This window comes from Homo sapiens, chromosome 16 (genome assembly GCF_000001405.40).
Source record: "Homo sapiens chromosome 16, GRCh38.p14 Primary Assembly".
NCBI classification, from domain to species: domain Eukaryota; kingdom Metazoa; phylum Chordata; class Mammalia; order Primates; family Hominidae; genus Homo; species Homo sapiens.
In genome coordinates this window covers 68315670-68342400 of record NC_000016.10, presented here as the reverse complement: position 1 = coordinate 68342400, position 26731 = coordinate 68315670, and the positions used below count along the sequence as shown (strand labels likewise).

General features: G+C 46.3%; 1 protein-coding gene and 1 pseudogene across 63 annotated transcripts in view; one reads left to right on the top strand and one right to left on the bottom strand.

The window, feature by feature from the left end:
- PRMT7 (protein arginine methyltransferase 7) overlaps positions 1–26731 on the bottom strand; it is a 49852-nt gene that overhangs the window by 18470 nt on the left and 4651 nt on the right. For 45 of the 63 annotated variants that reach the window (XR_007064885.1, NR_165365.1, NR_147057.3 and 42 more), the window contains 7 exons: positions 26327–26504; positions 20939–20975; positions 17569–17718; positions 13227–13335; positions 4830–4942; positions 2838–3079; positions 2433–2613 (listed from right to left, as the gene is read on the bottom strand). Coding sequence is in view for 45 of the 63 variants with exons in the window: in XM_047434220.1 (XP_047290176.1) it covers positions 2433–2613; positions 2838–3079; positions 4830–4942; positions 13227–13335; positions 17569–17718; positions 20939–20975; positions 26327–26421 (927 nt within the window). In the remaining 18 variants the exon portion in view is untranslated. Of the gene's footprint in view, positions 1–2432; positions 2614–2837; positions 3080–4829; positions 4943–13226; positions 13336–17568; positions 17719–20938; positions 20976–26326; positions 26505–26731 lie in introns of those variants that run through there. The other 18 variants (NR_165368.1, NR_165373.1, NR_165369.1 and 15 more) reach the window with 6 other exon arrangements.
- On the top strand, positions 12872–13014 carry RNU4-30P (RNA, U4 small nuclear 30, pseudogene; annotated as a pseudogene).

Sequence of the window (26731 nt, the reverse complement as noted above, 5' to 3'; positions counted from 1 at the left end):
TCATCTAACCAACCCCCATTTTGCTTTAATGTCCAAACTGCCCTTAATCATTCCTGGGTCCGGGCCAAGCTAACTTTGGGAGACATTTGGTTAACAGTTTATTTTTTGTTCTTATTATTTTTTGAGACAGAGTCTCGCTCTGCCACCCAGGTTTGAGTGCAGTGGTGTGACCTCAGCTCACTTCAATTTCCACCTCCTGGGTTCAAGCAATTCTCCTGCCTCAGCCTCCCGAGTAGCTGGAATTACAGGCACGCACCACCACATCCGGGTAATTTTTGTATTTTTAGTAGAAGTGGGGTTTCTCCATGTTGGCCAGGCTGGTCTCGAACTCCTGACCTCAAATGATCCACCCACCTGGGGCTCCCAAAGTGTTGGGATTACAGGCGTGAGCCACCACACCCAGCTGGTTAATACTTTAAATGATAACCGTCCTTCCCCAAAATTAAACTTAAACTGAATGAAAGATCATCAGGTTAGGAGGATGAGAGGAGGCTGAATTCTGCTAAGGTGAAGCCATTGTTAGGTCACAAGATCTGCAACCTTCCCTGATTCCTCCTGCAGATAACACCACCTTGCAGAAACTAAGATTGACCCTTTGAAATGTCTTTTCGGGTTTTTACGTTTCTGTCTGATGACTCCACCCAGAAGTGGACTCCCTCGCCTGCCAAACTATCCTTGAAAAACCCTAGCCTGAGCCGGGCATAGCGGCTCACGCCTGTAATCCCAGCACTTTGGGAGGCCGGTGGGGCAGGTCACCTGAGGTCGGGAATTTGAGACCAGCCTGGCCAACGTGGAGAAACCCCATCTCTACTAAAAATACAAAATTAGCCAGGCATGGTGGCGCATGCCCGTAATCCCAGCTACTCAGGGGGCTGAGGCAGGAGAATTGCTTGAACCCGGGAGGTAGAGGTTGCAGTGAGCTGAGATCGCGCCATTGCACTCCAGCCTGACCAACAAGAACGAAACTCCATCTCAAAACAAACAAACAAAAAACCGTAGCCTGTGAATTTTCAGGGAGACTGATTTGAGTAACAAATCTCTCCCCCACGTGGTGTGGCTGGCTTCGTGTCAATTAAAGTCTTTATTGCAATGCCATGGTGTCAGCGAATTGGTTTTGTCTGAACAGTGGGTGGGAAGAACCCATCAGGCAATTCCGACACACCTTTCCCACTTTCTTTTCCTTTGAGTGTGAGAGTGAGAGAGGGTGGATGGGGGTGTAAATAACACAAGCACATGAGAGAAAATTCAAAAGGTATACAAGGACGCATAGTAAAAAATATGTTTCCTTTCCACCCCTAACCTCCAGTCCCCATTCCCAGATGCAGTCAGTTTTACGAATTTCTGGGAATTCTTCCAAAGACCTCCTTATATGTACACCACACATGACTATCCACTCACAAACACATATATTCCTATTTTTACTAACACCAGTGCTGCCACACAACACACCATTCTGCACCTTTATTTTTGTGTCAGGTAATAATCCACCCTGAAGCTTGTCCCACATCAGTGCACAGAGAGCTACCTCACCCACTGAAAGGATAATGGACTTGATCCCTGCTAGTGGCCTTTAGGTTGGCCTTTTTCTACTAAACCAGGGCTGCACACATCTATTCTGCACAGACGCAAATCCAGCCACAGCCCCATGTCTGAAAGCAGCATTGCTTTCTACCTGAAACGTTCTGATGACTCGCTTTCCTGCTTTTTCCCTGAGCTTCCCCAACAGTGTGCTTGCAAACTGTTTAAACTTTATTCACTAGTAGGTGAAAATGAGATCTCATTGCAGTTTAAAGTTGCATTTCTCTTTTTTTTTTTTTTTAGAGACAGGTTCTCATCTTATTGCCCAGGCGGGAGTGCAGTAATGCAGTCCCGACTCACTGCAGCCTCAACTTCCTGGGTTCAAGCAACCCTCCTGCCTCAGTCTCCTGAGAGGCTGGGAGCATAGGTGCTGTGAGCAGCTAAAACTGCATTTCTCTTATTATGAGGGACAGTGGGCAACTATCCCCATCATCTGTATTTCCTTTTCTGTGTTTCATGTCCTCTGCCTACTTTCTATCGGGGTGGAGAAAGGAGATTTTGAGGCCACAGAAGGTGAGGCTGTAGTTCTCTATTCCAAGCTGATGGGAGCCCCCTGGGATTACTCAGGGGATGAGGGGTGGTATCTAAGGGTGGCTGCATCATGATGAGGCGGGAGAGGAAAGCCAACTTCTCTGTTCCTCACTGTGTCCATGAGTGCTCACCATGAGCTCACCCTGGGAAGGCTACGTTACTACAGCTAGCCTTTGCTTGCTTTTTAAAAACTTTTGTCTTTGATTCTGACACAGCCCTCCTGTCTCTAAATTCTCCTGGGTCCAAGGCTCAACTGTTACTTTCCCATGAACAGCAGTGGACAAGTTTCCTGACAGGGCACATGCTAGGCTCCTGCCTCTTACCTGCATCTCCTCTGGGTCTGAGTGTGCCCAGAAGGGGGCCATGGTGCACTTGATCTTCCCCTCAGGGTCCATTTCAATGTCCCACCACGAGAGAACCACCTGAGCTCGGCCAGATGTCAGAGGTTCAAACCGCCTGCTATGGCAGGCTGCTGAGCTACTGACTTGCTTGCTGAAGTCTATGCTGAGGAATAATATTCAAGAATGTAAGCAGAGTTTAACCTCACACACTCCATTTTTTAAGCTTTTACAGTGACTTCACTGGCAATGACATTTGGCTGCAAAGGACTCTTGCCTTCGAGGCAGGTGACAGCAGCTAGATTTCCTTCCCACTCAAAAAGAACCTCCTAATACCCAACTTCCATCAAATGTCTCAAAGCGCCATCACCTATGGTGGCTCCTTGGTACCTGAACATGGGCAGCACATCGCTGAGGACTGTAAAGTCGGCTGGTGACACCTGGTTCAGCTGAATGTCACAGACAGAGGGTGCGCCAGGGCAGCTCTCCACGTCAACGGGAGGGACGATGACCTGCTCTCCGAGGCTGGTCTGCACGTGGATGGGAAATAGCTTGTTCCACGACCACATCCTCCCGGACTCCACCAGCTGTGCATAGACGGTGGCTCTGTGGGGCACGGCCTCACAATTTTCCTAAGTTTATATTAAAAACAAAACCAAACAAAAATCAGATGCTTAGACCCACAGTAATTCCCATTGATCAAAAGAGGTTTATTCCTTAACATTAGGTTGGTTCAGTAATGCCCAACACCTTATACTATTAGAATAGTGAACTGTTTTCAGCCCTATGCCCTTGGAAAAGGGAAAAAAAGGGTACTACATTTCAAAAAGAACACACACTGTGCCTAAAATGACTTCTGTCAGCTAAGTTCCTGGCTACCTGGCACTCTTAAATGCTTCACGTCCTGCTGCTGGGTGGTGATCCTGGCTCTGGGCTCAGTGTCCCTTCAGTGCCGCTCCTGCCCAGCACCAAAACAAGAGCCTCCTTGTGGCAAAGCCCTGTGGACCACGGTGCCCCCTCAGCTGCCCAGCCCTCTAGCGCCGCTGGGCACTGCTGCACACTCAGCCCCTAGGGCTGTGGCTCCGGCTCCGGCTCCTTGTCCGGCTCTCCTCCTACCTCTTGCATCCACTCCACGTCCTCCATGCACCAGGCAATAGGGACCCGGCAAGAGCACACTCACAGCTGCTACCCACATGGCTTTCACCACCAGGACACCACTGGCCTCTTGGGCCAAATGATTCTCTGCTGTAGGGGTTGCTCTGGGCATGGTAAAAGGCTAGCAGAATAACTGGCCTCCCTGCGAAGCATCTCCCAACCTTGCTCTGGTAGACAAATGCTGCTCTAACTGGACTCACTCCCGCTGCCTTCCCCAGGCTGTGCTTCCTCCGCCCCACCTCACAAGGGGACTCCCTGGTCCGGACTGTCTCCCTCCACACTCTCCACAGTGACCTCAACCATGCCCTCTTCACTGAGTAAATCCATGCATCTCTGGGCCTCTTTGCTTGGCTGACCTTTAGAGAGCTCAAACTCTGTGTAAACCAGAAGAATCGCCCTCACCACTTCCCAACCTTCCCAAGGCTACCCCTCTTCCTGCACTCCCCGTCAACAGGAAGCACCACCATCCAATCCAGGTGCCCAAACCCTAGCATCGATATCTCTACACCTAAGGGACCACCAACTCCTGGGACCACCTATCAGGCCTCTGTCTACAGCCTTAGCTGAGGCCCACTGTACCACAGCGTCTGGACGATTCCACAGCCTTTTAACCCACCCGCAACCTCCAGCCCTATACCCCAACTGCCCTCCACACATCTGCCTGCATAAGTCTGCTGTCAATCCTCTGCTTCAAACCCTCCTGTGATGCCACCCCACCTTCTAATGACAGCTACCCTCTGGGCATGGCCCCCAAACCCCACTCCATCTAGCCCCTGCCCAGCTCTCTAGCCTCAGTTGCTAAGCCCATCTCTCCTGCCTCCCACACAGCACAAAATCCAAAGCAGGCTCCGGAGCCACCGCACCGATTCAGTCTCACGTCTAGCACGTGCTGCTCTCCTCTACCAGAAATATTCCATCTGCCAGGCCAACACCTGATCACTTCTCAAGACTGACAGCTCAAGCATCGCCTTCCTGAGAATATTTGCTGAACTTAACTGAATTTGAATATAGTTTCTTGCTTTTCAACTCTAACCTATTAAGATTTGGCATTCAAGGGACATGAAAGTTTTAAGTGAGGAGAACCAGAGCCCCCCCAGGAATGGAGGGGTGTCCCAGGTGTATCAGAGGTGCTGAGGGCTTGGGCTGTGTGGGACACGGTGCATGAGTGAGTGCTATGTGAGCTGGCTGAGACCACAGACACGTCTGAGGGAGCCCTCCGTCTACTACCTCCACGAGATGCCTGTGTGCGTGCTCATAGGAGGGCAGCGCCCCCTCCCCGATCAGCTCTGTGTCAAACAACTCTGTGACCAGGATGTTGGCACGGCATGGCATGTCACCCTCTGAAAAACACAAGAAAACAGAGTTGGACATAAGCAACAGACTAGGAAAAATATTTACAGCAAATATGGGAAAGATAAGTGGTTAAGGGGCCATCACGCTAAAAGCACATATACATGCTGAGGTATTCAGAAGTGTCAGGATGTCTGCAACTGACTTGCCAATGGTTCAGGAAAAAAAAAAAATCCATATGTAAATGTATGACAAAACGCTAATTGATAAATCTAGGGTAAGGGATCATAAGTGTTTACTGTACTGCTCTTACAGCTATTCTGTATGCTTAATATTGGGAGGGAGACTGCAAAAAATGATAAGAAAACTATAAATACCCAATGGATTGAGTTCAGGAGTTTGAGATCAGCCTGGGAAACATGACAAAACCCCATTTCCACAAAAAATACAAAAATTAGCCAGGCATGGTGGCTCACGCCTGTAATCCTAGCACTTTGGGAGGCCAAGGCAGGAGGATCACTTGAAGCCAGGAGTTCAAGACCAGCCTGGCCATCATGGCGAAACCCCATCTCTACTAAAAATACAAAAATTAGCCAGGTGTGATGGCACACGCCTGTAACCCCAGCTACCCAGGAGGCTGAGGCATGAGAATCACTTGAACCTGGGAGGCAGAGGTTGCAGTGAGCCGAAATTGTGCCACTGTACTCCAGCCTGCGCGACAGAGTGATCCAGCCTGCGCGACAGAGTGAGACTCTGTCTCAAACAAACAAAAAAAACACACACCCAAAAAGAAACCAGGTAAAAATATAAACAGAAAATTCAAAACAGAAATCAAACTTATGAAAACTTTTTCATCCCTATTAGCAATTAGAGAGATATAAATTAACAATTAAACTATTAACCACTAAATTAGAAAAATTATTTGAAAAGCAAAAACAGAATGCTGGTATGTCAAATACTTCTAGGTTGCAGGGAGAGGGAGGGAAAGCCAAAGCAAGACAACAAGGTTCTCTGATGATCTTCCAGCTACTGTGAGTTAGGCTCTGGCAGCCAAAATTGAGATCCATGACTTAGAATCCCCAGATCACTATGGCAAATTCCCTTAATGAAAGCGCCTTGTCACCAAACAATCTCTTAAATAACAGTTGTTTTAGGACAGTAGGATTTTAGAGAAGAGTAGGATTTGGGAGGGATCTTCTGTTAACTGTTTTCTAAACCTCAGTAATGTACTGCTACTTCTACAATTATAATTTTTAATGAGCCAAGAGCCAAAATAGACTTTGGAAGGGGCTATTCATCAGGGAGAATTAACTGTAAACACTTTTAATGCCTCATGAATTATAATCTGACAAAGCCCACTCATTTCCCCTACACAGAGCACAAGTCTCACAGATGACACAAGGAAAAGAGAAGCATGAAAGCAGCTGACAGGGGCCGGGCGCGGTGGCTCCCGCCTGTAATCCCAGCACTTTGGGAGGCTGAGATGGGCAGATCACCTGAGGTCAGAAGTTTGAAACCAACCTGGCCAACGTGGTGAAACCCTGTCTCTACTAAGAATACAAAAATTAGCCAGGCGTGGTGATGGGTGCCTGTAATCCCAGCTACTTGAGAGGCTGAGGCAGGAGAATCACTTAAACCTGGGAGGCAGAGGTTGCAGTGAGCCGAGATCACGCCACTGCACTCTAATCTGGGCCAGAGTGAGACTCCATTTCAAAAAAAAAAAAAAAAGAAAGAGAGCAGCTGATAGAAGAGCACAACAGAGACAGCGTGAACCTCGAGCTCGAGGCTGGAGCCTGGCCTGGATCTCACTTCCTATCCCTGAGCCCTCCGTTCTGACCATCAGTTGCCTCATCAGTAAAACGGGTGAATGGGCTCTGTCTCATGTGGTGGTGGTCGGGATGATGAAGATAAAAAAAAAAAAGCACACTTCCTATGAAGCTCACCTGTGCTCCATGACAGTATCACGTGGAGGAGCTTAAGAAGAAACTTCTGTCTTCTGCCACAGAGACCACCCTCCCGAGAAGCCCTGCCCATCCTCTCTGATGTCACATCAAACTCCAACTGGAATACACTGTCCAAAACTCATCCCACCCACCCCAGCTAACACGCCTGCTCCTCCCTCCAGGGTTTCTGCCTCAATCAATCAATGAGTCACATAGTCCAGGAATCTGGGCATCATTTACTAGTTCCAGGACAGCAGGACCGCTGACTGCCTGTCCACTACTGTACCCCAGCACCCACAAGGTCTAGTGCCCCGTAACAGTCAACACACATTAGATAAATTATTGATTTCTGTCACCCTACAACCCACTGATCACCCACTCTGCCAATTCTATCTCCTGAATGTTTAAACCAATTATATAACTTAAAATGCTTTATAGTCCAAATTGCTTCATTAAAATAAAAATCAAGAGCCAGGCACAGTGACTCACACCTGTAATTCCAGCACTTTGAGAGGCCAAGCTGGGCTGATCACTTGAGGCCAGGAGTTCGATACCAGCCTGGCCAATGTGGTGAAACCTTGTCTCTACTAAAAATACAAAAATTAGCCGGGTGTAGTAGCACGCGCCTGTAGTCCCAGCTACTCAGGAGGCTGAGGCATGAGAATTGCCTGAACCCGGGAGGCAGATGTTGTAGTGAGCTGAAATTGCCCCACCATACTCCATCTTGGGTGATACAGTGAGACTGTCTCAAAAAATAATAAAAATTAAAAAAAAAAAATTCAAGCTTTATGGTCCAGTGCATTTTAACAAGTACTTCTTGAGGGCCTGGTATTTTGAGTGTGACTGCTAATGTATAAGGGCACGGGGTGGGGGAGTCTGAAGCAGGTAGCCACCCCAGGAGCTTCCTAAGCCCTTTCCAAATGAACAAAATGGACGGATGAACACACGCTGCTCCCTGGGTTGGCTCTCCACAAGCCTCAGCATGTAACCCAGCTCTGGGGAACAGGCAACTTCAGATGCCACTTTTAAAAAGGGCTGAGAGCAGAACCTTGGAAAGTATACATCTGGAGCAGAAAGAAAGCAACACAGGAGAACCAAGATGAAGAGATGTCACTAAGGTCCAGGGAGAGTTTCAAGAAGGAAGGAATGGCAGAAGTACCAAAGCGGCAGTGGTTAGAGAGGAAAAGCAGAGGAAAGACCACCCAACTTGGCAATGAGGAAGCCACTTGTCAGGCTGAGGATCGGAAACAAAGTCACATTTACAAGGGATTATGGATGAAGCACAACTGACAATCTACTCACTTTACAAAAATTACCTAACTCCTTTACATGACAGGCCCGGAGCAAATAACGGAATGGAATAGTTAATACAACCCACGCAGTGCATGACCTCAGGATGCCTCAGCTGGGTGGGGATACAGACATTAAATACATAACTACATAATGATTTAATGATTGCAGTGGTAAGCGCTATGAAGAAAAGTATTACGAAATTGGCCAGGCGTGGTGGTTCATGCCTGTAATCCCAGCATTTTGGGAGGCCAAGGCAGGCAGATCGCTTGAGGTCATGAGTTCAAGACCAGCTTGGCCAACATAGTGAAACCCCATCTCTACTAAAAATACAAAAATTAGCCAGGTGGTGGTGCATGCCTGTAATATCAGCTACTTAGGAGGCTGACGTGGAAGGATCACTTGAATCCGGGAGGTGGAGGTTGCAGTGAGCCGAGGTCATGCCACTGCACTCCAGCCTGGGCGACAGAGCCACTCTATCTAAAAAAAATTTTTTTTTTTAATAAGAAATCATATGAGGGGCCTGGCCTAAGCTGAGGTGTGTGTGAACAATGCTGCCTGGAGGCAGAGTCAGCATACTTCATGGCCAAGGCTGCCCTGCAGATCAGTCTCCCTGCCGTCAAAATGGATAAATTTTCAAGAATAAATGATCTCGCCAGGTACAGTGGCTCCCATCTGTGATCCCAGCACTTTGGGAGGCTGAGGCAGAAGGACTGTGTGAGGCCTGGCGTTCAAGACCAGCCTGTGAAACAAAGCGAGACCTAGTTTCTTTTCTTTTCTTTTTTTTTTTTTTTGAGCCAGAATTTTGCTCTTGTTGCCCAGGCTGAAGTGCAATAGCGCAATCTCGGCTCACCGCAACCTTTGCCTCCCAGGTTCAAGCAATTCTCCTGCCTCAATCTCCTCAGTAGCTGGGATTACAGGCATGCACCACCACACCTGACTAATTTTGTATTTTTAGTAGAGACAGGTTTCTCCAAGTTGGTCAGGCTGGTTGCTACTCCCAACCTCAGGTGATCCGCCAGCCTCGGCCTCCCAAAGTGCTAGGATTACAGGCATAAGCCACTGCACCCAGCCGCAAGACTTAGTTTCTAATAAAAATTTAAAAAAACAAAAAAATTAGTTGGGTATGGTGGCGCCTGCCTGTGGTCCCAGCTACTCAGGAGGCTGAGGCAGGAGGATCACTTGAGCCCAGAAGTCGAGGCTGCAGTGAGCTGTGTTCGCATCACTGTACTCCAGCCTAGGCAACAGAGTGAGACTGTCTCAAAAAAAAATAAATAAATGAATCAATCTCCACTCTGGCCATAGTGGAATAAGTGGGATCAGGCTTACCCTCCGGCTGTTATCAACTAGAAAACTGGGCAAAATATATGAAACAAGTGTTTTCAGATGTTGAGCAAGAGGCAACACAGTTTGCTCCCTAAGAAGGGAAACAAACCAAGTAACCCTTACCCTGCTCTGGCTATCAGCCAGGAGACCCTTTCCAGACCACAGTATAGGGTAAGAGGTGACACAGAGCACGGCAGTCTTGCTGAGTTAAACAGACAGGAAACGAGTTCAGGGAAGTGGAAGCAGCTGGAACTTGCCAGGCAGAGAATCAGAGAGGAAATTACACAGAAAAAAAGCCTTCAGAATGCTGCACAGGGTTCCTCTAGGGTCTGTGTTAATACATTCACACACACACAGGGTAATACTCTGTGAAGCCGAGCAAAGGTTGCATGAGTGATAACAATCTCCGGAGCTCTCAGAGGCCTGGGAAACATTCAAGTTCTGATCAGCCAGACAAGGGAAACCCTGCTGAGCACCTAGAGCTCTCAGCAGACACTCCAGAAAGGTTACAGTAACTGTCTGGCTAAACAGCCTTAGAGCAGTGGTTCTCAACAGGTGGCAATTTTACACACTCGAGACCAAGGAAGACGTGGCAGTCTGGAGACATTTTTAGTTGGCAAGAATGGTGGGAGGAGGGGAGTGCTACTGACATCCACTGGGAAGAGGCCAGGGACACTGCTAAACATCCTACAATGCAAAGGACAGGGTCCACAACAAAGAATTATCAAAATGTCACATAGTTGGAGAATGCCAAAACGTCACAGCACTACTGTTGAGAAGGCCTGACTTAAAGCTACTCTAACCCCACTCCAAAGAAAGCTTAAACAAGCCCTGAAAGGATCAATCTGAACTGCAAGTAACCCAACTGCATGCCAAAGTTTAAAAAGCAAAACCAACGAAGTCTAGCACTCAACAATGGGGAATTCCAAATAGCCACAGCATCCAAACAAAAATGGTTAGACATGTGAAGAAGGAAAATGTGACCCAGAATAAGGATAAAAATGAGTCAAGAGAACAAACCCAGAAAAAACAAAGATGGTGGGAACAGAAGATAAGGATGTTCAAAAAGCTAAAATAAATGTGCTTATAGAAAACTATGAACATGAGAAAAATGGAAGTTATGAAAAAGAATCAAGTGGAACTTTCAGAGATTAAAAAATACAATATCAAAAATGAGGCCAGGCACAGCGGCCCACGCCTGTAATCCTAGGACTTTGGGATGCTGAGGTGGGAGAATCGCTTGAGCCCAGGAGTTTGAGACCAGCCTAAGCAACAAACTGAGATCCCATCTCTACAAAAAAAAATTTTTTTTAAGTTAGCCAGGCATGGTGGCATGAGCCTGTGGTCCCAGCTACACAGGAGGCTGAAGCAGGAGGACTGCTTGAGCCCAGGAGGTCAAAGCTGCAATAAGCCATGCTCACACCCCTGCACTCCAGCCTGGGGGACAGGTCAAGATCCTGTCTCAAAAAAAAAAAAAAAAGAACAACAAAGAAAGAGAAATGAAAAGTTTACTAAATATACTTAACAGCATATTAGATGCTGCAAAAGAAAAGATCAGTGAATCTAAAGACCTATCCAAGAAATCCCTGTCCATCAACAGGTAGAGAGATAAACAAGTTATGGTACATCTATCTAATAGAGTGCTGCTCAGTAACACAAAAGAACGGACCCCCAAGACATGAACAGTGTGGAAGAATCTTACCAGCATCACGCTATAAAAAAGAGAGCACACACACAGAAGAGTCCACACTTCTTTGATTCCACTTCCTTGAAATCCTAGACAGGCAAATCTAATCTATAATGAAGTCTATGAGTGGGTGCCTAGGACCAGGATATGGGGGGACTGATAGAAAGGGTTATGAGGAATCTCTTTGGGCATGATGGAGATGTTCTATTATCTTCATTATGGTGATGGTGGTTACAAGTGTGTTTATATTTGTCAAATATCCATAATGAAAATGGATATTCATTTAATGTAAATCATACTTCAATAACGTTGATTGTAAATGGAATGATTTGAGCACTCTATTGTATATTTTAAAAATAAAAAAGATAGGCCGGGCGCGGTGGCTCACACCTGTAATCCCAGCACTTTCGGAGGCCGAGGCAGGCTGGTCACCTGAGGTCAGGAGTTCGGGACTAGCCTGGCCAACACGGTGAAACCCCGTCTCCACTAAAAATACAAAAATTAGCCAGGCATGGTGGTGCACGCCTGTAATCCCAGCTACTCATGAGGCTGAAGCAGGAGAATCGCTTGAACATGGGAGGCAGAGGTTGCAGTGAGCTGAGATCCTGCCATTGCACTCCAGCCTGGGCAACAGAGTGAGACTCTGTCTCAAATAAATAAATAAATAAGATAGTACCCACTTCTTTTGTACATGTTTCAGATTCTCCATTAAAAAAAAATTGTTAAATGGGAGAATAATGTTGACCTTAGGTAGAAGCTTCAATTCAGAATGATACTGCATTCTCCAAAACCGTGGTGAAAAAGCCAGGTGCAGTAGTGCACACCTGTAGTCCCAGGTACTTGGGTCGCTGAGATGGGAGGATCACTTTAGCATAAGAGTTTGAGTCCAGCCTGGGCAACATAGTAAGACCCTATCTCCACAAAAAATTAGAAAAAACCCATGGTGTTATCCATAACTTCACCACAGTTTTTCCTTTGCAAATCTTTCAACTATGTTCTCTAAGTGTCAGTGGCATGTGAAATTTTCAAAGACTGAAACAAAGTTCTAGACTATAAAAAATATTCTGGAGGCCAGGCATGGTGGCTCACGCTTATAATCCTAGCACTTTGGGAGGCTGAGGCAGGCGGATCACCTGAGGTCAGGGGTTCAAGACCAGCCTGGCCAACATGGTGAAACCCCGTCTCTGCTAAAAATACAAAAAGCAGCCAGGTGTGGTGGCAGGCACCTGTAATCACCGCTACTTGGGAGGCTGAGGCAGGAGAATCACTTGTACCCAGGAGGTGGAGGATGCAGTGAGCCAAGATTGCACCACTGCAATGCAGCCTGGGTGACACAGTGAGATTCCGTCTCAAAAAAAAAATATGTGTGTGTGTGTGTGTGTGTGTACATATACATATTCTGGAAACCTTAAGAGACAATGCTATACAGGAAAATTGTTCATGTTGTATGCAGAAGCAGAATGTCAGAACTACTCTCGCCATTCTCCTGCCTCAGCCTCTCCAGTAGCTGGGACTACAGGTGCCCACCACCATGCCTGGCTAATTTTTTGTATTTTTAGTAGAGATAGAGTTTCACCGTGTTAGCCAGGATGGGTGAACCCAGGAGGCAGAGCTTGCAGTGAGGCAAGATAGCGCCACTGCACTCCAGCCTGGGCGACAGAGTGAGACTCTCTCTCAAAAAAATAAATAAATAAAAGAACTAAGTACTTTCTGCCTGATGAAACTCAGAGTTGAGCTTTGAGCAGTGGCAGTATCGTAGCCAATGAGGTTTATCCAAGGCGTAATTATTGGTAGTTGAAACTCAAGAGTTGAGCCCCATAAGAATTCCAATTTGCTTAAAGCAAATGTAGGTTTTGTTTGCGTCTCCATTGCTGGACCTGACTAGCTCTAGTCTACTCCTTGTTGACTAGTTTTAACTAGCAGGAAAATAAACATCAAGAGAAACCAAGTCCTTACTGTCAGAGCTCCACACAGAGAGGTCCCACTTCTATGCTATGACCTGGATTTGTTCCAGGTAACTGGAATAACCCTTTTCCTCTCTCACACAAGAGCAAGCAAAGCTTTCAACACAGGGTGTGTAAATCTCACCTGGACCTACAGTCACCTCGGTGGAATGCTTGTTGATAACCTTAATCTTATCACTAAAGCCATTTTTCTCCACAATCTTCACAGCAGCATCAGCCATAGGCTTGAAAACCTAGAAAATAGAGCCGAAACCCAAGGAAAAATGAGCAATAAATTAAACAGTAGTCTGACCTTTAAGGTGAGCAAGCTATTCCTTGATTCTGGTCCTAAGATATGTAACTTAAATACTTTATTCTCCAAATGTGCATCATGAAAAAGGGCTGAGATTCAGCTGGCTTTAACTTGTGATTAGGGACTCTCATTCCGTGCCAGGCACAGCGGGGATGCCGGGGATCCTGAGGAGGCTGCACTACTTAGTAAGAGCAGTAGGTGTCAGTACCGCACAAGAGGACGCCAAAAAGCCAGGAAAGGGACTTGCCTCACGAACCTGGGAGGCGTGCTGTGCCCTCCAGAGGAGAGCAGACTGTAGGTGTGAGTAAGTAGGTCATCCTCTGGGCTCAAAATTGTCCCAAATCCCCACTGTTGGCAGAACACAGCCTCTATTTTCTTATGGTGCAGCAGTGCCTCTTGTCCATGGGGGATACATTTTAAGACCCTTGGTGGATGCTTGAAACCTCAGACAGTACTGACCCTTATGTATACCATTTTTTTTTTTTTTTTTTTTTTGCTATACATACATACTGTTCCATGGTGGGCAGCTCTATGCAAACCTACCCCAACAGGCCACGGGAGCTGAGAGGCTGAGGAAAGACTGGCAAATCCAGCTTCTCAGAAAGACACACTTTATAGAGACATACAAACAGAAGCCTTGTCTCGGGCAGTGAGAAACTGGGCCCCCACACTGTTATGGCTCAGACGCAGGGCTTACATACCACAGGGAATTTGACGAAGGGCAGGATTTACGGTAAGTATGTATTTATGATAACATCAAAGTTGTTCTGACCTGAGGGCAGGATTTACATCAAAGTGCATGAGAGCGGAAATTTTAGAGGCATTCCTGAAGCTGGGGTTGGTCAGAAGTCAGCGTGGAGGATTAGCATTCACAGTGGAGCTGCTTCAGCCTCCAAGCTTACCTATGACCAGGTTTAATTTATAAATTAGGCACAATAATAAATATAAATAATAATTTATAAATTAACAATAACTAAAAATAGAACAATTATGTAATAATACTCAGAATGGTACACAACTTACAACTTATAAATAATTTCTGGAATTTTCCATTTAATTTTTCTTTTTTTTTTTTTTGAGAAGGGTCTCACTCTATTGTCCAGGCTGGAGTCCAGTGGCATGATCACTGCAGCTTCCACCTCCCAGGCTCAAGCAATTTCCCACCTCAATCTCCCAAGTAGCTGGGACTACAGGCGTAGATCACCATGCCCAGCTACTTTTTGTAGAGGCGGGGTTTTGCCATGTTGCCCAGGCTGGTCTCCAACTCTGGGACTCAAGGTTTCCACCTGTCTCAGCCACCCAAAGTGCTGGGATTACAGGCGTGAGCCACCGCACCTGGCTCCATTTAGTATTTTTGGACCTCAGTTGACCACAGGTAACTGAAATCACGAAAAGTGAAACCATAGATAAGGGGAAACTACTGCTTTGGAGGCCCTCCCTTACCTTCCCAGTCTTCCTCCCCCATTCCCCCAACAACCAACACTCCAGCCACAATGATCTCATGATCACTGAGCCTTCCCTATCCTGGCCCCACCTGCCAAATCAAACCCCACTTCCCAGGGCAGCATGAATCCCCCATCCAGAAGTCTTCCCTGAACTCTTCGAGTTTCCCTGAACATAAATAAGCACCTCCAACTCTTTGTTTTCAACTTATCCAGTCTAGATTCCACAGCCCCAAGAGCTCTAGCATGTAAAACAAACAGACTCACGTGTGGCCCTACACACGAAGTGGAAACCACAAAATGATACCGAGACTGTTCCTGATAAGATTTTCCTTTTTTCTAAATCCTTTTCTGTATTTCCCACATTTTCTACCATGAATACTATATTTTTTACTATAATCAAGGGACAAATGCTGTATCCTTTCGTAAAGAGTACTTACGTGAGCAGCTCCAGTTGTGCAATTGATTAGCGCGCAGTATTTACATGGAATACACACACATGTTCTCCTAGAAAAATCTTCATCATCTATTTCAAATTATTTCTAGGATTTGCCTTGATGTTTTTAGATGTGGTTTGAGGGCCTTAAACCCTAGTTCTCACCAATCACTTTGCCTCCACCCTGACAATATCCAAAGCCAGTGTCGTCCCTCACCCCTGCTGCCTTCTGACTCATCAGTCACCTCTCCCTGAACCTGCAAGCTGGTACCTTCACACCTCCTTCTCCTCAGCCCATCAAGAAGCTCAAGATCTCACCCAAAACACTACCAGGAGTGGACACTGAAGATGACCTCCCGACATCCATTCTGTGTCCTCCTCTCCCCTGAAATCAGGTGAGGGTGCAGCGTGGGGAACTGACCTTTGCAGTGGTGCACTTGTCTGAGCTAAGAGTAACTGAATCCCTCTTGCCAGAGATAAGAAATGAGATTTAACCTCATTCTAGCCGATGGTACCCAAGGAGAGGTTTGCTATAATAGAAATTCCTGGGAAAGTTATTCTTACTTTTAAAAAAGAGGAACAAGGCAGGGCGCAGTGATTCACACCTGTAATCCCAACACTTTGGGAGGCTGAGGTGGGGGGATCCCCTGAGATCAGGAATTCAAGACCAGCCTGGCCAACATGGCGAAACCCTATCTCTACTAAAAATATAAAAATTAGCCAGGTGCAGTGGTACATACCTGTAATCCCAGCTATTTGGGAGGCTGAGAAAAGAGAATTGCTTGAACCCAGGAGGCGGAGGTTGCGGTGAATAGAGATCACGCCACGAAAAAGATAGCAAAAAACTACTCTACCTTAAACCACAGTGATTTTGAGGCTTTGTTATTTCCAACTCAATCACTACATGAACCCAATTTTGTAGGGAAAGTATTTATATACATGCTCCCTGCCTGCCCCCAAAACTTGGAAGAATATACACCAAAATGTTAACAGTACTTAACTTTGGGTCAACATACTATTTTTATTTGGTATTTACCAAATTTCCTATAATAATATGCATTATTTGTTTTATGAGAAAAATAACATGTTTAATTTTTAATTTTGTTTGGTTTTTAATTTTTCTTGCTCTGTGGGCTCAAGCTGTTTAATGTTTTATTAAAGAAATGACAAATTGGTAAACATAAGAGAGCTGACTCCATAGGGACATTTAAGGTAGTGGTTCTCAACCTTGCCGCACATTCCCAAGTCCCAAGGCTCAGGCCTCACCCCAGAAAAGTTAAATCAAAATCTGTTAGGGCTGGGGACTAGGCATAAGGTTTTTTTGTTTTGTTTTGTTTTGAGATGGAGTCTCACTCTGTCGCCCAGGCTGGAGTGCAGTGGCGCAATCTCGGCTCACTGTAACCTCTGCCTCCTGGGTTCAAGCGATTCTCTCGCCTCAGCCTCCTGAGTAGCTGGGATTACAGGCGCGCATCACCACACCCGGCTAATTTTTGTATTTTTAGTAAAGATGGAGTTTCACCATGTTGGTCAGGCTGGTCTTGAACTCCTGACCTCATGATCCAAGCCTCGGCCTCCCAAAGTGCTGGGATTACAGGGGTGAGACACTGTGCCCAGCCTTTGTTTCGTTTTGATTTTTTTGAGATAAAGTCTCACTCTGTCACCCAGGCTGGAGTGTGGTGGTGTGGGGGCATGTATTTAAATACTTTCCCCTACAAAACTGAGTTCATATACTGATTAGTTGGAAACAACAAAGTCCCACAATAACTGGCTTAAACAAGGTAGAAGTAATTTTTTGCTTTCTTACATGAAGTCCAAATCATGGCTCACTGCAGCCTTGACTTTCCGGGCTCAAGAGATCTTCCCATCTCAGCCTCAAGAATAGCTGGAACACAGGCACATGCCACCATGCCCAGCTAATATTTAAAAGTTTTTCTGTAGAGATGGGATCTCACTATGTTGCCCAGGCTGGTCTCAAACTCCTGGGCTCAAGCAATTGTCTTGCCTCACCCTCCCGAAGTGCTGGGATTACAGGCGTGAGCCACTGTGCCCAGCCTGTAAGTATTTTCTAAAGCTCCTAGTGATTCTGATGTGCAGCCTAGGCTGACAGAGGAGAAAATTAGCTCCTGGAGGAAGGAACTGTGTCTGACTCATCTCTATACGCTCAGAGCCTGGCTCTGTGCTTGGCACAGAGTGAGCACTCCATGAATGTTTGTGAAGGAACAGACGGGGAAAGTGCAAGAGCATAGGGGATTTCCCATGCAAGATGCAGGACACACACCTGAAGGGAATGGCTTACCTCGATGGCATAGCAGAAGTCGGCACCTGCTGTGACCGCCATCATTGACAAGAGTCCCGTGCCAGTGCCAATGTCGAGAACCAAGGCCTTCTGTCCTCTGTCCTTCACCCTGCTCACGGCAGCCCGGATACCTTGGTAGTATTTTACATTCTAAGGAAGACATGGCCGTCACTTACTACCAGTTATTATAAGTAAGTGGAAAGGTGCTTTGCAAAGTTCTAGAGTCACAGCTGGCAGTGGCAGTGCAAGTCAGGGCCCTATGGCCTTTCTGGCCCCTGGCAGAACAGCTCTGGCTGAGTTGGGCAGGTCTTGTGAGTCAGCCCCTTGCCCTTTATTAAGCGACTGTCCCTGCTCCACACTCACTCTTCTATCCTCTACTAAGTGATGCCAGAGCCCTGCAAACCATGTTCTCCTTTTTCCAACTGTTAGGTACAGCCAAAAGGGGGACCAAGAGGGCGACTGGAAGGTAGGAGGACAGAGCAGGCTTGCTCCTTTCTGCATGCTGCTGTTCTCATCAGGGTCCTCTCGGTAGGGGCAGTTGATTGCAGACTCCAACTTTTCCCAATGATCCCATAACCAGCTCCTTGGGCCCCTCAGAGCTGCAGCCGTACTTGGACAGTGGTCCACAGGATCTCTCCTCAATGCTTGTGGCTTCTGGAAATCCTAATCTTCTCGTTTAGTTTCTCAGCCCTAGGCAAGGTAACTGCTCCCTGCAATCTCTACTGTTAGGTTACTCAGCGTTCCCATTTGCTTTCTAGCCCTCCCACAGCTGGGTAGCCAGCTCCTTGTGTTAAAGCCGCTCTGCTGCAATATGTATGGCTTGTTTTCCTTTACCGACTCTAACTCAGAGAGCTTCACTAAAAAGTATTTTCCCCATCAGAAAATAACTTCTTTGCATCTTGAAGATTTTTACTTCTGTCTTTAGTAAACACATACATCTTTCATCTATAACGGTCTGACTCAATAGGCACAGTGACCCTTCTGTTGAAAATAACTAAAGATGATGGAAAAAATATGTGCAAATCTTTTAAATAGACTGATGACCTGCCAAGTTAGTAAGAAATATTAAGAGGCTATTAAAATTTAAGGTAATTTGTTAAATAACATTAGACAGCTAATACAGAACTGGCATCAAAAGGGTGATATCCTCTGACCACAATGCAAAACAAGTCAAAAATCTTAATATCAGAAACACAACTGAAGAAAAAAAATTTTTCATACATTAAGAAACACACTTCTAAACTGATAGGCAAAAGACTAAATCAGACTGGAATTAGAAAATATCTAGAACTGAATATTCTTTAGAATTACCAGGCCGGGTGCAGTGACTCACATCTGTAATCCCAGCACTTTGGGAGGCTGAGGCGGGTGGATCACTTGAGGTCAGGAGTTGGAGACCAACCTGGCCAACATGGTGAAACCCCATCTCTACTAAAGATACAAAAAATTAGCCAGGCATGGTGGCGCATGCCTGTAACCCCAGCTACTTGGGAGGCTAAGGCAGGAGAATCACTTGAACTCGGGAGGTGGAGGTTGCAGTGAGCTAAGATCACACCACTGCACTAAAGCCTGGCAACAGAGGGAGACTCATTCTTGTTAAAAAAAAAAAAAGAAAGAAAGAAAAAAGAAAAAAAAGAAATGACGTTGCCTCTGAGGTAAAGCACAAAAATGTTTAGTCTGGGTGAAATAATTTTTCACAGAAATATAGAACTATTTCATTGTCAAAGTAAGTGCATTTATGTCTTAGATACAATCAGTATGACCGTTTATGTTATGTGTTTTTACCACAATTTTTTTTTTTGAGACGGAGTCTCCCTGTCGCCCAGGCTGGAGTGCAGTGGTGCAATCTCGGCTCACTGCAAGCTCCGCCTCCCAGATTCACGCCATTCTCCCGCATCAGCCTCCTGAGTAGCTGGGATTACAGGCCCTGCCCGCCACCACGCTCGGCTTTTTTTTGTATTTTTAGTAGGGACGGGGTTTCACCATGTTAGCCAGGATGGTCTCGATCTCCTGACCCCGTGATCTGCCTGCCTCGGCTTCCCAAAGTGCTGGGATTACAGGCATGAGCCACCGTGCCTGGCCTTGTTTTATTTATTTTTTAAGTTAAAAAAAATTGATGAACAGCGTCCTCAATTGTAAACCAGGGATGGCACAGCCTTCACTTTAACGATGCCATTAAATTAGCTGTCACTTTTTAATGACCCAGTTTTGAAGATATTACAGTGAATCTGGAACCCTTTTTGAAGGCAATGTGGCAGTGTCTATCAAGAATCACACCTATGTTCATAACCCTAGACTAGAACAAAGATATACACATGGTAAACAAGCACACGATGGCCGGGCGCAGTAGCTCATGCCCATAATCCCAGCACTTTGGGAGACCAAGGCGGGTGGATCACTTGACCTCAGGGGATCAAGACCAGCCTGGGCAATACAGCGAAACTCTGCCTCTACAAAACATACAAAAATTAGCCAGGCATGGTGGCATGCCTGTAGTCCCAGCTACTGGGAAGGCTGAGGTTGGGGGATCGCTTAAGCCCAAGAAGTCTAGGCTGCAGTGCAGCCGAGATCACACCACTGCACTGGGCAACAGAGACCCAGTCTCAAAAAAATAAAATTAAAATTAAAAATGGAAATTAAAACTACAGTGAAGGCCAGGTGTCATGGCACGCACCTGTAATCCCAAGTTATAATCCCAATACTAGGTATAATAGTATAATAATAGTATTATCCCAATACTAGGTACAATCCCAACACTTAGGCAGGTTGAGGCAGGAGAATCGCTTGAACTCGGGAGACTGAGGCTGCAGTGAGCCGAGATCTCGCCCCTGTACTCTAGCCTGAGTGACAGAGCGAGATTCTGTCTCAAAAAAAAAAAAAAATGTTGAACTCAGAAGCCCAGAGAATGGTACCTGCTAAGGGAGAGGATCTGATGTTTCAGTCAGATAGGATGAATAAGTTGTGGAGATCTGCTGTACGGCATTGTGAGCTATAGTTAATAATGTACACTTAAAAATTACTAAGCGAGTAGATCTTAAATGTTCTCACCACACACAAAAAAGTATGAGGCGGTAGATTTGTTAATTAGCTTGATTCAATCATTTTACACCATACACATATATTCATCACATTGTATTACCATAAACATAGACCATTTTTATTTGTCAGTTCTATCTTGATAAAGCTGGGAGATTAAACAACAAAAATAGAGCCAGAAGTAGGACCCAGTCTCCCAACTGATTTCCTGACTTCTACACCATACGCCTCTCAGTATCATTTAACATCATGACCCCCAGGGATTCTTAACCTTCTTGTAATCCAAGACTTCAAAACACCCCACATCAAGATAATAGTTTCCTTTTACACTTACTCTGTCTTTGTCATGTAGCATATCTGCATAAGATGACCTAAAAAACAAAAAAGTCAGTAACCTTTGCATGATACACATCAACACACAAGAGTATTCACATATATAAACACATTGCTAAACAGATAGAACAAACGTGTCATCTATTTTAAACTATTTTTTGGTTGTCTTTTATCTTTATTTATTTTTTTTTTTTTGAGACAGGGTCTCACCCCATCACCCAGGCTGGAGTACAGTGGTGCAATCTCAGCTCACTGCAACCTCTGCCTCCCAAGTTCAAGTGATTCTCATGCCTCAGCCTCCCAGGTAGCTGGGATTACAGGTGCTCACCACCACGCCTGGCTAATTTTTGTATTTACATTAGAGATGGGGTTTCACTATGTTGGCCAGGCTGTTCTCGAACTCCTGACCTCAACTGATCCGCCCACCTTGGCCTCCTAAAGTGCTGGGATTACAGGTGTGAGCTACTGCGCCTGGCCTATTTTTTTGTTTATTTTTAGAAACAGGGTCTCGTTATGTCACCCAGGCTGTAGTGCAGTGGCTATGAACAGCCTCAATCATTGGGCACTGCAGCCTTGAACTCCTTAGCTCAAGAGATCCTCTTGCCTCAGCAGAACTACAATACAAGCATCCGTCGCTGCACCTGGCCACTTTATTTTAATAGAGTTTCAAGCTGTTATTCTCTAGTGCTGCAGAAAAAAGTCTCAGAGAAAGATGTTCTCAGACCTAAAAATGCTCCAGTAGTTAGCTGCTGGGAACAGGCCCCCAAATCTGGCCAAAAACAGGCCCCAAAACTGGTCATAAACAAATCTCTGCAGCACTGTGACATGCTCGTTGATGGCTATGATGCCCACACTGAAGGTCGTGGGTTTACTGGAATGAGGGCAAGGAATACCTGGCCCACCCAGGGCGGCTTTCGCTTAAGGCGTTCCTGAACCACAAACAATAGCATGAGTGATCTGTGCCTTAAGGACATGTTCCTGCTGCAAATAACTAGCCAGAGCCCATCCCTTTGTTTCCCGTTTTAATCTATAATCTATAGGAACAATGCTTATCACTGGCTTGCTGTCAATAAATATGTAGGTAAAGTTCTGTTCGTGGCTGTCAGCTCTGAAGGCTGTCAGCCCCCCAATTCCCACTCTGCACTCTATATTTCTGTGTGTGTGTCTTTAATTCCTCTAGCGCCACTGGGTTAGGGTCTCCACGACCGAGCTGGTCTCGGCAGTTAGCCCTGTCACAGTAATTCCACAGCCACTAGCATCTTGATCTTGCTATACACTACACATTTTCCTCCTCAGGAAAAACTCAGACTCAATCTGCCTAATACTTGACCTAACCTGGCCTACATCTCTGCCTGGAGATAACCACTGATGCGGTATTAGGGAGAGCAGCCGGGGAAAGAGAAGCACTCACATACACCCACTGTATATGTGACAGGTACCCCACTGGGCACGTTCACTTAACATCATCAGGGAAAACTAAAGAGTTCACCAATACCGTAGTAAAGGGAGGAGAATCACTTCTCCATATTTCCTACTGCAGTAATTCACACACTGAAAACCCTCAGGCGGGGTCGGGATGAGCACCCAGAACTAGGCAGGCCCTGCCACGCTTTCTGGGAATTCAAGGGGACAGCTAAGGAGCTCACATTAAAACAGAGGCCCTCCAGCCTTGGGTCAACACTAGAATCACTAGAAAGCTTACCTGAAATGCAGAGTCCCAGAACACACACACACACACACACACACACACACTCTCACTCTTATTGAGAAGGCTGGGCTAATGTGCTCCAGGCAATTGTGCCACAGGTGGTCCACATTCCACACTTTGAAGAGCGGTGCACTGAAAGAAGGGGGTTCTTTTTTTTTTTTTTTTAATGGCACATCAAGGTTTTATATCTGAAGCCAGCTATGGATGCTTAGCTGAAATGTAGTCCTTTCTACCTCTGCTCACTATTTAAAAGGCATCTCACTCACCACCTTCCTGGCCTCTTCACACTTACTGCCCACCACTCCACTGACATCACTCTCGGTAACCACCACCAGCTCACTCCTGCAGCTGATGTCAGTCATCAGTATCTGGGACTTCCCAGTGCCTCTGACCTTGCTAGACACACTCCCTCTTTCTTCCTTTCCATGCTGGCTATCTCCCTTGCCCTTCTTTGCCTCCTCAGCTATTCCGGGATTCCTTCTTCAGCCCTCTACCTTTCACATTCCACACCCCCTTGAGAGACTGCAACCTCTCCCAGTTTCAGTTCCAACAACTACAAATTCTGTCTCCAGACCCAAAATTCTATCTGCCATTGGCATCTCTATGTGGATGTCCAAACCTAAACGCCTAATCTCCATCGTGTTCCCCTCCCCACACCACCCATTCCTCCCTTGCAGGCCCCATCCACTTTGTCATTCTAACCAGAAGTCTTGGTGCTTCTTGAATCTTCTCTCTCCCTCCATCATATCCAGTGAGTTACCAAACTCAAGTTCCCCCGAGCTGTCTCCTCTGGGACTATGCAGCTCTGGGACTACAATATCCCCAAATGCTCTCCTCTCCACACCGCTCTCAGTGAGTGTTCCAAAATGCAATCCAATCCTCTTTCTCTCCTGTTTAATATATCACTCAGAAAATAACGTCCAGGCCTGACACTGTGGCTCACACCTGTAATCCCAGCACTTTGGGAGGCAGAGGCAGGTGGATCACCTGAGGTCAGAAGTTCAAGACCAGCCTGGCCAACAGGTGAAACCAAGTCTCTACTAAAAACACAAATATTAGCCAGGTGTGGTGGCAGATGCCTGTAATCCCAGTTACCTAAGAGGCTGAGGCAAGAGAATCCCTTGAACCTGGGAGGCAGAGATTGCAGTGAGCCGAGACTGCGCCACTGCACTCCAGCCAAGGCAACAGAGTAAGACTCCATCTGAACAATAAAACAAGAAAATAATGTCCAAAATGTTTAGAAATATTTTAAGACCTGGGCAGGTGCAGTGGCTCACGCCTGTAATCCCAGCTCTTTGGGAGGCCGAGGCGGGCGGATCACAAGGTCAGGAGATCAAGATCATCCTGGCTAACACGGTGAAACCCCGTCTCTATTAAAAATACAAAAAATTAGCCGGGCGTGGCAGCGGGCACCTGTAGTCCCAGCTACTCAAGAGGCTGAGGCGGGAGAATGGCGTGAACCCAGGAGGCGGAGCTTGCAGTGAGCAGAGATCGTGCCACTGCACTTTAGCCTGGGAAACAGAGCGAGACTCTGTCTCAAAAAAAAAAAAAGAAAAAAAAGTAAATATTTTAAGCCCTAATTCTGCACCAGATACTGTATTACATTTAATCATCAAACAATTCTAAGATAATTGTATTATACTGTGAGATAATGTATTACTATATTGAAGTATATATTATTTTATATTAAGGCTCAGAGAAGTAACTTGGCCAAGAGAGTAAAGAAGTGGCAAAGCTTGGACTTAAACTCATGTTCCTCTTCCTGCATTTTGCTACCACCCTTTACAAAATGACCCCGCGTATGCTTTCGGCAGCCTCTCTTACCATAGTACTTTTGTACCACACTCCAGCTGCACTAAACTGCTAGCTGCTCCCCAGAATAGCCCATCTGTGTGTGTGTGGTTTTTTTTCTTTTTTTTTTTTTGAGACAGAGTTTAGCTCTTGTTGCCCAGGCTGGAATGCAATGGCACGATCTCGGCTCATGGCAACCTCCGCCTCCCAGGTTCAAGTGATTCTCCTGCCTCAGCCTCCCGAGCAGCTGGGATTACAGGCATGCATGCGCCACCACACCTGGCTAATTTTGTATTTTTAGTAGAGACAGGGTTTCTCCATGTTGGTCAGGCTGGTCTCGAACTCCCGACCTCAGGTGATCCGCCCGCCTTGGTCTCCCAAAGTGCTGGGATTACAGGCATGAGCCACTGTGCCCAGCCTGTTTTTGGTCTTTGTTTGTTTGTGAGACAGTGTTTTACTATGTTGAACTCGTGGGCATAAGCAATCCTCCTGCCTTGGCCTCCCAAGTAGCTGGGACTACAGGTGTAGGCCACTGCACCCAGCCACAATCTGGCTCATCTGAAAGCTTACCTGTAATCCCTGCTGCTCAAACTTCACCTTCTCTTCCTTTAGAACTGAGAAATTATTCAAACATTACCTCCCACCCCAAGTTCAGCTGGTTCTTGCTGCTTCCATGACCTCTTGTGCCTTTATCTCACTGTGCTGTAATTTTTTTTTTTTTTTTTTTGAGACAGAGTCTCACTCTGTTACCCAGGCTGGAGTGCAGTGGCACAACCTTGGCTCACTGCAACCTCCACCTCCCGAGTTCAAGTGATTTTCCTGCCTCAGCCTCCCGAGTACCTGGGATTACAGGCGCCCACCACCACTCCCAGCTAATTTTTTTTTATAGAGACGGGGTTTCACCGTGTTGGCCAGGCTGGTCTCGAACTCCTGACCCTCAAGTGATCAGCCGCCACCACCCCCTCCACCGCCCGCCCGCCCGCCCTTTGCCTCCCAAAGTGCTGGGATTACGGGCATGAGCCACCGTGCCTGGCTTTTGTGCTGTAATTTTGTATGTGCCTGTCTCTTCCACAAAACTGCATGGTCCTTGAAGATGAGAACAGGATCTTCTTCATCTGGTATCCACAGCCTTAGCACAATGCTGGCACACTGAATGCACTTAATGATTGCTACATAACAACTCACATACTTTTTTTTTGAGACAGAGTTTCGCTCTTGTTGCCCAGGCTGGAGTGCAATGGCTCGATCTCGGCTCAACACAACCTCTGCCTCCCAGGCTCAAGTGATTCTCCTGCCTCAGCCTCTCAAGTAAGCTGGGATTACAGGCATGAGCCACCATGCCCAGCTAATTTTGTATTTTTAGTAGAAACGGGGTTTCTCCATGTTGGTCAGGCTGGTCTCGAACTCCTGACCTCAGGTGATCTGGCCACCTCGGCCTCCCAAAGTGCTAGGATTAGAGGCGTGAGCCACTGCGCCTGGCCAACAACTCACATACTTTTAAATATTTCTTCTAAGGGAAAAAAAAAACCATTTTCATTTTTTTCATTCAAAAGAATTTAACCATATGATGAACATGTCACCATTTCAGTAAGGCAAGTAAATGATTCAACTTCATCAACACTACTGAGGCTTGGGTTTTCTTTGCTCCGTTAAACAGATGCTGAGGCTCTGCTAAGGCTGCTACATAATGTCTGACTCTCCAAACAGGCATGATTTTGCCTAACTGCTACATATACCTACCTGGCTGAGCAGACCTGCTCAGGACCAACACCAGCCCTCATCATAAGCACTGGGTGACAGCCTAGCCCACGCTCAGACTGGAGCCCAAGGCATCTGCTTTGAGATCAAGTGCCCCACCCAGCTGCAGCCTGCTGTAAACCAACCCAGTACCTTGCAATCTCCTGGTGGTAATCATAGTGTTCATCCTCCTCCAGCCACTCCACAGACCCCGTGGTCGGATTGGCCCGACTGCAGAAGATCTTCATGGTGCCCACTAGCTCCCCAGTTTTAGCACAGAAAAGCAGCCTTGCCAGTTGAGTTCTTGTGGACAAGTCTGACTGTCAGAAATCTATTAACATCAGAAGGAAACAGGAGGTATATAAACAAACGAACAGAAAAAAAATCTATTAACAGCACAATGCCCCAAAATGTGGAGGGGGGAAGGGGAGACAAAAGCGGGGAAAAAAATCAAGAAACTGACAAAAATGTCAAAGCCACTGATAGTATTTGTTAATCGATATTGTAAATGTTTCCAGCAGGAGTTACTTGGTTTTATATTCAGCATATAACATTAAA